Source organism: Homo sapiens, chromosome 6, assembly GCF_000001405.40.
Source record: "Homo sapiens chromosome 6, GRCh38.p14 Primary Assembly".
NCBI classification, from domain to species: domain Eukaryota; kingdom Metazoa; phylum Chordata; class Mammalia; order Primates; family Hominidae; genus Homo; species Homo sapiens.
The window spans coordinates 85,761,349-85,774,564 of NC_000006.12; the positions used below are offsets into that span (position 1 = coordinate 85,761,349).

Sequence of the window (13,216 nt, forward strand, 5' to 3'; positions counted from 1 at the left end):
ATGATGATGTTAGCTGGTTATTTTGCTTGTTAGTTGATGCAGTTTCTTCGTAGTCTCGATGGTGTTTACATTTTGGCATGATTTTGCAGCGGCTGGTAGCAGTTGTTCCTTTCCATGTTTAGTGCTTCCTTCAGGAGCTCTTTTAGGGCAGGCCTGGTGGTGATGAAATCTCTCAGCATTTGCTTGTTTGTAAAGTATTTTATTTCTCCTTCACTTATGAAGCCTAGTTTGGCTGGATATGAAATTCTGGGTTGAAAAATTCTTTTCTTTAATAATGCTGAATATTGGCCCCCACACTCTTCTGGATAGTAGAGTTTCTGCTGAGAGTTCCGCTGTTAGTCTGATGGGCTTCCATTTGTGGGTAACCCGACCTTTCTCTCTGGCTGCCCTTAACATTTTTTCCTTCATTTCTACTTTGGTGAATCTGACAATTATGTTTCTTGGAGTTGCTCTTCTCGAGGAATATCTTTGTGGCGTTCTCTGTATTTGCTGAATTTGAATTTTGGCCTGCCTTGCTAGATTGGGGAAGTTCTCCTGGATAATATCCTGGAGAGTGTTTTCCAATTTGGTTCCATTCTCCCCGTCACTTTCAGATATACCAGTCAGAGCAGATTTGGTCTTTTCACATAGTCCCATATTTCTTGGAGGCTTTGCTCATTTCTTTTTATTTTTTTTCTCTAAACTTCCCTTCTCACTTCATTTCATTCATTTCATCTTCCATCACTGATACCCTTTCTTCCAGTTGATTGCATCGGCTCCTGAGGCTTCTGTATTCTTCACGTAGTTCTCGAGCCTTGGCTTTCAGATCCATCAGCTCCTTTAAGCACCTCTCTGTATTGGTTATTCTAGTTATACATTCGTCTAAATTTGTTTCAAAGTTTTCAACTTCTTTGCCTTTGGTTTGAATTTCCTCCTGTAGCTTGGAGTAGTTTGATCGTCTGAAGCCTTCTTCTCTCAACTCGTCAAAGTCATTCTCTGTCCAGCTTTGTTCCATTGCTGGTGAGGAGCTGTGTTCCATTGGAGGAGGAGAGGCTCTCTGCTTTTTAGAGTTCCCAGTTCTTCTGCTGTGTTTTTTCCCCATCTTTGTGGTTTTATCTACTTTTGATGATCGTGATGTACAGATGGGTTTTTTGTGGATGTCCTTTCTGTTTGTTAGTTTTCCTTCTAACAGACAGGACCCTCAGCTGCAGGTCTGTTGGAGTTTGCTAGAGGTCCACTCCAGACCCTGTTTGCCTGGGTATCAGCAGCGGTGTCTGCAGAATCACGGATTTTCGTGAACCGCGAATGCTGCTCTCTGATCGTTCCTCTGGAAGTTTTGTCTCAGAGGAGTACCCGGCCGTGTGAGGTGTCAGTCTGCCCCTACATTTTTATTTTATTTCAATAGTTTTTGGGATACAAGTGATTTTTGGGTATATGGATAAGTTCTTTAGTGGTCATTTCTGAGAGTTTGGTGCATCCATCATGCAAGCCGTGCAAACTGTATTCAATATATTGTCTTTTATCCCTTATCCAACCTCCCACCCTTTCCCCTGGAGTCCTCAAATTTCATATTATTTTTATGCCTTTGTGTGCTCATAGCTTAGCTCCCACTTATAAGTCAGAATATGTAATATTTGGTTTTCCATTCCTGAGTTAGTTCACTTAGAATAATGGCCTCCAGCTCTAGCCAAGTTGCTGCAAAAGACATTATTTCATTCCTTTTTGTGGCTGAGTTGTATTCTATGATGTATATATACACAACATTTTCTTTATCCACTTGTTGGTTGATGGGCACTTAGGTTGGTTCCATATTTTTGCCATTGTGAATTGTGCTGCTATAACATGTGTGTGCATGTGTCCTTTTCATATAATAACTTCTTTTCCTTTGGGTAGATACACAGTGGTGGGATGGCTGGATCAAATGGTAGTTCTAGTTTTAGTTCTTTAAGGAATCTCCATACTGTTTTTCATAGTGATTTTACTAGTTTACATTCCCACCAGTAGTGTAAAATTGTTCCCTTTTCACCACATCCATGCCAACATCTGTTTTTTGACTTTTAAATTATGGGCATTCTTGCAGGAGTAAGATCTACCCTAGATTTCAATAGCAATGTTTAAATCAGTAAATTTATAAGCTTTACTAACACCATACTGAGTACTTTACCTTGCAGAAAATCTTCCCACTGTTGGGAATTGAGAAAAAAAAAAGAGCAGCCCCTGACATCCAGATGCTGGACTTGCACTCACAGGGAGGCCATGTTAGCCTCCTATTAGACATAATCAGTCTCACAGAACACTAATCTCAGACAAGTTATGCTGAAACCATGGTAAAATGAGACAAAACAAGGCCACTTCATAATACTATCATAATATTGTCTAAGTAGAGGCAAAAACAAGGTCATTGTGCCACCCACAAATATCCACAAAACACTCCTTTCTCAAAAATTAAATGCTATTTCTATGCCAGTTACAGTTTTTTCTTTGTGCTAGTCTTCTTTCCCATAGTCTAAGATTGATATACTCAATCATTGACTCTCTCTTGTCACCCCAGCAAAGTCCAAATATATAATTTGTTCTTTCTACCCCTCTCTTAGACATCTTTCAGTTACCCAGGGTATATATTCCCCCTCTCTGCCACAAATAATAAACCCAACTTGTTCAGCTAAAAGTGTGTTGCTGGTGGTTCCTAGGTAGAGGGCATTGACAGAATACATAAATAAATTAGTAATTAGTTGGCTCAGCAAACATTCATTAAATTGTAGTATGGGATTCCAAGCTACTTGAATGTTTTTAATTAAAGTCTTTGAGAATATGATGAAAGTTACAGACCCTTCTGCCAGAAAAATGAACATTCATTCAAACATTTGCACACACTTTCAGAAGTTCAAAGGATTCAAAGATTTCTTTGGTTAAGAGTCTAGGTCTAGTCATTAAAAATAAGCTGTAATCTCTGATCTCAAGGAACTCAGAATCAGCACATGGGACTAAGGGACACATTTCTTTATTGGGAACATTCCTTAAATAGAGATGACTTGCAAATGAAAAATACCTCTAAATAGAAAACCTGGATTTGACTAATAAAAAGATTATTGGCAGTGAATATTTTTCTTTCTGTAGTGTTTTAAAGATTAGATAAATCTATTGTACGTTTTTGGCAATAGCATATTATTTCTGCCTGACTCTGTGTGTGTGTGTGTGTGTACGTGTGTGTGTGTGAGAGAGAAGAAAAAAGAGAGAGAGGGAGAGGGAAAGAGAGAGAGAGAGAGAGAAAGAGAGAGAAAAAATACTGCAAAATGTGCAAGTCACACATTTGAATGATACAAGATTGTTTTTTCCTTCTCATTTACAAAGTCTCTCTATCACTTAACAGAGAGAATATGAACAGGGGAGGGAATTGTTTCTCAGTTAAGAAAAATTGTGTTACAAATATCAGTGGGTTTGCATTTGGAGTAACCAAACTGCAGAAAGACTGAAAGTCTGATGTATTTTCCCACAACCCTGAAACTTGAGATTGAACTGAGTGTCTGAAATCCTTGGGGGCAAGAACTGTATCTTATTTAGTTTGGCATACAAAACACACAGAAAAAGGTACTCAGTAAGTATTTGTTAAAGAAATGTGTAGCCCAAGAGGTACAGTATTTCCAAACTCCCCTCTCTACTCCTGTGCCCCTTCCCAAGGCCTTTGGTCCAGATTCCAAGCGTGCCTTTCTGCTGATTTTGCCTTCGCAATTGTTTCCTTTCCTTTGGTCTGTCTGGAGCTCTGTCCTGAATCCCTGCTCAACTGGACTGCTTCTGGGCCTTGAGAAGACTCTAGGTCCAGTCAGCCCCTCATCAGCCTGGGCCTTATTCTTACAGACACTCCAGAGTATTGATATATCACAGGTAAACTGTTCGGAGTCTGACATTGGGTGGGCATCATGTAATGAATGTTGGCATCTCCTGCTACCAAAGCCTTGTCCACCTCCTGAGTTTTTAGTCCCTGAGTTCTAGTCTCACTAGCTCAAACCATCTAGTTCCACTGCTTCTGGGAGCACAACTGGACTTGTGACACTCCACACCTTCTTCGCAGGGTCCATCTGTGTAGCTGGGTCAGGTCCTGCCTCTATCTTTTTTTGTTACCACACCCATAATGTAAGGCCTCCTTCTGCTCTGACGTTCATCTCTGCAGGACTTGCCCTTTGTGCTGATGCCTTATCAGACCTTACATTAGGTTTTTAAAAAACTGTTTATTTTGAAATAATTTTAGATTTATAAAAAAGTTGTATTAGTTTTCTGGGACAATCTCAACAAATTACCACAAACTTGGTGGCTTAAAAAAACAGGAATTTAGGCCTGGTGCAGTGGCTCACACCTCTAATCCCAGCACTTTGGGAGGCCAAAGCCTGTGGATCACAAGGTCAGGAGTTCAAGACAGCCTGGCCAAGATGGTGAAACCCTGTCTGTACTAAAAATACAAAAATTAGCCCTGTGTGGTGGCATGAGTTTTTAATCCCAGCTACTTGGGAGGCTGAAGCAGGAGAATTGCTGAACCTGGGAGGCAGAGGTAGCAGTGAGCCAGAGGCTGAGGCAGGAGAATTGCTGAACCTGGGAGGCAGAGGTAGCAAGGAACCGAGATGGTACCACTGCACTCCAGCCTGGGCGACAGAGCAAGACTCCATCTCAGAAAACAACACCACCACCACAAAACAACGATGAAAAGAATTTATTCTTTTCATCGTTTTGGAGGCCAGATGTCCTAAATCAAGGTGTTGCCAGCACTATGCTTCCTCTGAAGGCTCTCGGGGAGAATTGTTTCTTTCTTCTTCCAGTTTCTAGTGCCTCCTGGTGTTCCTCAGCTTGTGACAATATAACTCCAATCTCTCTCTCCAACTTTACATAGCCACTATGTTAGTATGTTTGGGCTGCTATAACAAAATGCTTTAGACTGGGTAACTTATAAATAACAGGAATTTATTGCTTATGGTTCTGGAGGCTGGGAAATCCAACATCAAGGTGCCAGCAGATAGTGGCTGTTGAGGTCCCATCCTCATGAATGGCCACTTCTTGCTGGGTCCTCACATGGTAGAAGGGGTGAACATGTTCCCTCCAGCCTCTTTTTAAGAACACTAATTCCATTCATGGTGGCTCTACCCTCATTCCCTAATCACCTCCAAAAGGCTCCACTTAATAATATTGTACTGGGGATTGTGTTTCAACATATAAATGTTGGGCAGACATGAACATTCATACCACAGCAGGTGCCTTCTCTTTGTGTTTCGTGGTGTGGTCTCCTCTTCTTATAAGGATATCCGTCATTAGATTTAGATGATTCCTAAATTCAGGATGATCTTGTCTTAACATCCTTAATTTATTCCCAAATAAGGCCAAGTTTTGAGGTTCTGGATGGACAGGAACTCTTGGGTGACTGTATTCAAACCACTATCATCGCAAAGAGCACAGGGAGTTCCTATATACCTTTCACATCAGCTTATAATCTGATGTGGAGAGCTCCTCAAACGAGGCAGATCAAATAAAACTCCATGCTGCAGGGGTCTACACCCTGGTGCTCAAGATCACACCTCTTGGTGCCTACCGATTTCAGGCACCTCACAGAGCTATTTCTTTCTAAGGTCTTGTTACATAAGAGGTATGATGCTAGAGCAGGTTCCAACCCTTGCTTGGTGGAGAATCTGAGAACATAATTCCCATTTATGTTCCCTGAGATCTACCCTGGGTATTGGTGTTGGGAGACTGCCTTCCCTTTTCTTTTTAATTATACTTTGTATTTTGAGATAATTTTAGATTCACAGGCAGTTGAAATATATGAGAAGGAGATCTCGTGTACCATTCCCTGCTTTCTCCCTATGGTAACTTCCTGTAAAACTATAGTATAATATCACAACCATGATATTGACATTGATACAATTAACCTATCATATTCAGACTTCACCAGTTTTTCTTATATTAGTGTGTGTGTGTGCATGTGTGTGTATGCGTATTTAGTTTTATGCAAGAAATTTTCTTTTTTAATCCCTCAAAGTGCCAAGTGTTCATTCTCCACCTTCTCCTACAACAGATTTTGAGGGCTCATCAAAAAACACTTCAAAATTCAGAAAAAGACTTATATTTAGAAACACAAATCAGCCTGTCTAGCCCCCTGGGGATAGAAGGTGCCTGACTTCATAGTCAAAGCTTTGACTTCCCATCCCTGATGAGGCTGATGAAATGTCTTCTGTTTATTTCTGAAGAATCAATTCTATTTAGTGGATGATTTCAAACAAATGTAAGTCAGGTTTTCTGTAAGTCACTTTACTTAAGACATGGGCTTTGGATTTGCAGAGAGGTTTGAATTCTGGTTCTGCCATTTACTAGTAGTGAAATTTGGGCACATCATAAATGTTTGAGAAAGTTGGGCAGGTGTCAGATCAAGTGTTTGGATTGTAACTTAAAGCTGATATTGAATTATTTTAATTGGGGGAGTGATACAAGCAGGTTTGCATTTTAGAGAGATCTAGCACAGCTCATTACCATTTTTAGATTACTAGCTCATTTGAGACTTTGAGACTCTGAGAAAAGCCGTTAAGTTCTTTTTCTATAGAATGCATACATATAATAATATAACTTTAAATATAATTTCAGGAAGCCTCTGAAGACTATGGACTCTAATCTGCAAATTCTGGGGTAGAGGAATTTTTTTCTTTTCCCATTGGATATGTGATGAGTTCCTGAGTGGGTGGGAAGGAGGTGAGAGACTTGAGTATATTTATATGCTTAAGTGACAGAGCCAGTAGAAGGGAGAGGTAGGAATGTAGTAGAGGAGAGAGTTACGGAAATTATTCCATAGCTTCCTCCTTATATCTATAGAGGTAGGAAGAACTCAATCTCATCTAGAACAAAGGCGATGAGATTATCTCTGGGCTGTAGGAGGGAACCTTCTAGTGAATTAAGAAGGAAAATGGGTGTGGGAATAAATGACAATGGGAGATGGAAGGAATACTTAATGGAATTTCCTTCTTTTTTTTTTTTTTTTTCTGGGTAGAAAGTAAACTGATTACCTAAGAATGAAGGGAAAGAAGGTTTGGTAAAAGTAGAGAAGTTTTGGATTAGCTCCCAAGAGAAGTATGGAAAGGTGCTGAAAGATAGTAGGAGATTGGTGGTGAGATTATGGAGTTGGAGCAGTCCTCAGCGAAGTGTAATTTTTCTCTGGGACCTCTCAACATCCTGCTAAAAGGCAAGAACATAGGTATAATTTTGCAGGGAGAGCACAGTGGAAGCATCATTTCCTTTTTGTATAAAACAGAGAGATAGTGATGATTTTTTTTTGGATTGATTGATAATTTCAGTATGTGCTCATGGACTCATGCCTATAATCACTTTGGATGGGTGAGGTGGGAGGATTGCTTGAGGCCAGGAGTTCAAGAGCAGCCTGGGCAACATAGGGAGACCCTGTCTCTACAAAAAAAACCTGAAACCCCAAAACAAAAGAACTCCAATTTGAATATACATGCACACATTGGTTTTGTTGTGGCCTGACTCACATTGCTATCAGCAAAAGGCCCAGTCTGACCCTTGGGGCCCTGTACAATCTTATGAAAGAATGATATGGCAGAGTAGCAACTCCCTTTCCTTCTCACCTTTCTGTGGTGTTGATCATAGAGGAATTAGGGAATTTCTGGGCTACGGAGTCCTACTGTTCTAGACCCTAAATTTAAGGGCACGCATTATTTCAGAACATACTAGACAAATTCTCTTTTGCCTTATGAAGTAGCTGTTTTTTTTTTTTTTTCTGTTGGATCTAAGATTCCATTAGAAAAAGTGAGGAGAGGATAACATTAGGAGACATACCTAATGTAGGTGATGGGTTGATGGGTGCAGCAAAGCACCGTGACCCACGTATACCTATGTAATAAAACTGTACCTTCTGCACATGTACCCCAGAACTTAAAATATAATAAAAAAAGAAAAAGTGAGAAGAAAATAAGATAAGTAGAAATCAGATGCCTTTGTAAGTACATATAATTCATGACTGTCAGGGTGGACCGTGCTATGTGAGCACATTTAAACTCCGTTAACTATCAATTATGTTGAACACCTTTTCATATGCCTGTTTGCCATTTGTATATCTTCTTTTGAGAAATGTCTGTTCAAATCTTTTCCCTATTTTTTGATCCCGTTATTTGATTTTTTCCTATAGAGTGGTTTGAGCTCCTTATATATTCTGATTATTAATCCCTTGTCAGATGGGTAGTTTGCAAATATTTTCTCCCATAAAATTAAAATATGATCAATATTCTTTTGGTGGTAATAACTTTTTTTTCCTTTATTCCTTCTTTTCCATTTTGTAGTGGATATTGTAAGGATTATTAACTGTATTCCATTACAATTGCTCTAGGAATAGTTATTTGATAAAATAAACATTTACATATCTGATAAGTACATGGTTGTCCCCATATGGATTGAGAAGTAACTGGAGGGAAATCAACCTTGACATTCAAAAGTGCTACTTCTCTGAGTCTCCTAATATTATAAGGTTGAACTTCACCAGCTTATCAGCCTGCAGGAAGTGGGTTGTCCTGGGTCTACGGAATGGAAAGCTGATAGATAAACCTCAGGTGTATTCTCTTCTCTGGTCACATCTGTTTTCAAATTTTTCTCATTGGGCTGGATAGAAAGTCTATAGAAAGTTAATCCTCTGGATGTCTATGTTGAAAGAACCTCTTTTTAAAACTTTTTTAAATTTTTTTTATTTTCATAGGTTTTGGGGGGAATGGGTGGTGTTTTCTTACATGAATAAGTTATTTAGTGGTGATTTCTGAGATTTTGGTGCACCCATCGCCTGGGCAGTATACACAGTACCCAGCTGGTAGCCTTTTATCCCTTATCCCCTTCCTATCTTTTCCCCTGAGTCCCCAAAGTCCATTGCATCATTCTTATGCCTTTGGATCCTCATAGCTTAGCTCCCACTTATGAGTGAGAGCATATGATGTTTGGTTTTCCATTCCCAAATTACTTCCAATTCCATCCGGGTTGCTGCAAATGCCATTATTTCATTCATTTTTGTGGGTGAATAGTATTCCATGGTATGTATATACCACAGTTTCTTTATCCACTTGCTTGATGGGCATTTGGGCTGGTTTCAGATTTTTGCAATTGTTAAATTCTGCTGTTGTAAACATGTGTGTGCAAGTACTTTTTTTTATAATGACTTCTTTTCCTCTGGGTGTATAACCAGTAGTGGGATTGCTGGATCAAATGGTAGTTCTATTTTTAGTTCTTTAAGGAATCTCCACAGTGTTTCCCATAGTGGTTGTACTGGTTTACATTCCCACCAGCAGTGTAAAAGTGTTTCTTTTTCACCACATCCCTGCCAACATCTATTACTTTTTGATTATGGACATTTTTATGGGAGTAAGATGGTATCACATTGTGGTTTTGATTTGCATTTCCCTGATTATTACTGATGTTGAGCATTTTTCATATGTTTGTTGGCCATTTGTATATCTTCTTTTGAGAATTGTTTATTTATGTCCTTAGCCCACTTTTTGATGGGATTTTTGTTTTTTATTTCTTGCTAATTTGTTGGAGTTCCTTGTATTACAGATTCTGGATATTAGTCCTTTGTTAGATGCATAGATTGTGAAAATTTTCTCCCACTCTGTGTGTTGTCTGTTTACTCTGCTGATTGTTTCTTTTGCTGTGCAGAAGCTTTTAAGTTTAATTAAATCCTATCTATTTATCTTGGCTTTTGCTGCATTTGCTTTTGGGTTCTTGGTCATGAAGTCTTTGCCTAAGCTAATGTCTAGAAGTGTTTTTCCAATGTTATCTTCTACAGTTTTTATGGTTTCAGATCTTAGATTTAAATCCTTGATTCATCTTGAGTTGATTTTTGTATAAGGTGAGAGATGACAGTCCAGGTGCATTCTTCTACATGTGGCTTGCCAATATCCTAGCACCATTTGTTGAATAGGGCATTTGTTGAATAGGGTGTCCTTTCCTCACTTTATGTTTTTGTTTGCTTTGTTGAAGATCATTTGGCTGTAAGTATTTGGCTTATTTTCTGGGTTCTCTATTCTCTTCCATTGTTCTATGTGTCTTTTTTTATACCAGTACCATGCTGTTTTGGTGACTATAGATTTATAGTATAGTTTGAAGTCAGGTAATGTGATGCCTCCAGATTTTTTTTTTTTTTTTTTTTTTGCTTAGTTTTACTTTGGCTATGTGGGCTCTTTTTTGGTTCCACATAAATTTTAATTTTTTTTTTCTAGTGAAAAAACCTCTTTTAATATGCTACCATTATCCCCTACAGTGCTAGCCCCTCCCTCTGGGCACTTCCTGCAGGGTTTGGTGTCTGGAATTTGAGTTAGATTTCAGTCTTCTTCACCTCCTCAACAGGAGTACCCTTGTTAGTGGTGGTAGTTATCCACACGGTGTGCAGCAACCTCAATTCTTGGCTTCTCAGAAGAAATAATTCGACTGAGGAGCATAAGGTGAAAGGAGAGGTGGACACAAGTTTTAAAGCAGGAGTAAAAGTTTATTAAAAAGCTTTTGGATTGTATTTCTAGCTATTTTAATCTCTTTGTAGAAATTGTGAATGGGAATCCACTCATGATTTGGCTCTCTGTTTGTCTGTTATTGGTGTGTAGGAATGCTTGTGATTTTTGCACATTAATTTTGGGCTGAGGTGATGGTGTGGTGTCAGCCAAAGCATTTTATAGTGCAGTGAGAGCAGGATCTGTCCTCATTTATGCATGCCAGCAGCAGCAGCAGTGGCAGCACGGCGGGGTGCACATTCATCTGCTGTAGCAGGGTGCTAGTACATGCTGAGATGCCTGCCTTTATATGGGCATTCACCACAGTGGTTGAGGCAATAAGGCTCAGAGGGGTTGGGGAGTGCAACCATGTGTATGGTCACACTGGTGGTGGTGTTTGCATGGAGGCAGGACGGTGGTGGGTGCAAGTCTGTGTGCATTCTCTGTGCACTGCAGTAAGGGATGATTGCACAGGGTGAGGGAGGGTTCACTGTTCTTCATGCCTAATTTCACTCCTGCAGTAGTGTTGATACAAGGACTAGGTGCTGGCAGATTCAGGGCCCACTAAGGCTCTGACTGTAATGGTGCTTGGTGGGCAAGGGGGAATGAGGTTGCACTTCTGCTGCAGCAGTGGCAGGGCATGTTGTATGCACACGTGTGTCTTAGTGGGTCAAGGAAAGCAAAATCTGCCTATACACACATGTGCTGGCAAAGTGATGTGCAAGATTGCTCTGGGATCAGGGGAACCTGCAGTGTGGGGAGGGGGTGGGCAGTCTGTGCATGGCTGCGGGGGCTGCTCTGCTGGAGCTTTCTGCTGGTCAAGCATGGTCTGCCAGTGCAGAAGCTATGATGCAGATCTCCAGGGCATCCAAGGCTGCACTGCAAGCAGGTGTTGCCGGGCTGAAGTCCTGGGGGAGGACAGCAGACCAAGGGGGGCTCAGGTTGGACTGGCCCAGTCTGACAGGCAAGACTGCCATGCAAAGTTCAGGCCCTACAGTTTTTCGAGGGCTAAAGTCTCCTATGGGAGCAAGCTGAACCTAGGGAGATGGCTGTTTCTGGCCATGCTCCACTGCAGACACTCCTACACCAAACTCTTTGGGCTACACATTAGCTGGCTTGCTGTGCTACCACTTCTCTAAACAGCTCTCCCTGCCAGCTTGAGTGTTTGTGGTGGTCAAGGGTTGCCTCCTGCTGGGCTTCCAGATGCCCTTTGTGAGAGCACATTGCTCTTTGCCAGTTCAATGCTCCCATTTCCCTAGAGTCACTGGGGGCCTGGAAAAAGTCCTCATGCTCAGTAGCCCTGTGCATGGTTCCCAGTTCCTCCCCTTCCATTTCAGCTTCTATGTCTTCCCTTCATCTACTCTTGGTGCCTTCCCTCTGAAGATCTGTTACAAGTGCACCAGTAATCTCAGTTCTCAGTGGCAGTTGTTCTGCCTGGCTGCATCTAGTCAGCCATATTGTTCTGTCCTCTGTCAGTTCTAATAGCTTTTTGGTGGAGTCTTTGGGTTTTTTCAAATAGAAGATCATATCATCTGCAAACAAGGATAATTTGACTTCCTTCTTTACAATGTGAATGCACTTTATTTCTTTATTTTGTCTGTTGCTTTAGCTAGGACTTCCAGTACTATGTTGAATAACAGTGTTGAAAGTGGGCATTCTTTTTGGACTCCAGATCTTAGAGGAAAGGCTTTCAGTTTTCCCCCATTGAGTATGATACTAGCTGTGGGTCTGTCATATATGGTTTTTATTATGTTCACATATGTTCTTTCTTTTTTTTCTTTTTTGAGACAGAGTCTTGCTCTGTCGCCCACGCTGGAGTGCAGTGGCATGATCTTGGCTCATCGCAGCCTCCACCTCCCGGGGTCAAGTGATTCTCTTGCCTCAGCCTCCAGAGTAGCTGGGACTACAGGTGCATGCCACCACGCCTGGCTAATTTTTGTATCTTTAGTAGAGATGGGGTTTCACCATGTTGGCCAGGATGGTCTCGGTCTTCTGACCTTGTCATCTGCCCACCTTGGCCTCCCAAAGTGCTGGGATTACAGGCATGAGCCACTGTGCCCGGCCTGTTCTTTCCATACCAGATTTTTGAGGGTTTATCATAAAGGGATGTTGAATTTTATCAAATGCCTTTTCAGCATCAATTGTAATGATCATACATCTTTTGTCCTTCATTCTGTTGATATGATGTATCACATTGGTTGATTTGCATATGTTGAACCATCCTCGCATCCCTGGGATAAATCCCACATGATCATGATGAATGCTCTTCTTAATGTGTTGTTGAATTCAGTTTGCTAGTATTTTGTTGAGGATTTTTGCATCAATGTTCATCAGGGATATTGGCCTGTAGTGTTTTTTTTGTTGTTGTTCTTTGTCTGGTTTTAGTATCAGGGTAATACTGGCCTCTTAGAATGAGTTTAGATATATTTCCTCTTCCTCTGTTTTTCAGAACAGTTTGAATAGGATTGACATTAATTCTTCATCAAATGTTTTGTAGAATTCAGCAGTGAAGCCACTGGGTTCCAGGCTTTTCTTTGCTGGGAGACTTTTTATTATGGCTTTCATCCTGTTACTTGTTATTGGTCTGTTCAGGCTTTGGATTTCTTAATGGCTCAATCGGGATTGTATGTATCTAGAGATTTATTAATTTCTTCTTGATTTTCCAATTTATTAGCCAATGGCTACTCATAAAAATCACTAATGATCCCTTGAATTTCTGTGGTATCAGA

At 40.5% G+C, this 13,216-nt stretch overlaps 1 annotated feature.

The window, feature by feature from the left end:
- Positions 11,471-12,104: an enhancer, noted in NCBI's record as "H3K27ac-H3K4me1 hESC enhancer chr6:86482537-86483170 (GRCh37/hg19 assembly coordinates)". NCBI's record gives its function as "activates a minimal SCP1, AML or CMV promoter by ChIP-STARR-seq in naive H9 embryonic stem cells {active_cell/tissue: H9 hESC(naive)}" and the evidence as "EXISTENCE:reporter gene assay evidence [ECO:0000049][PMID:30033119]".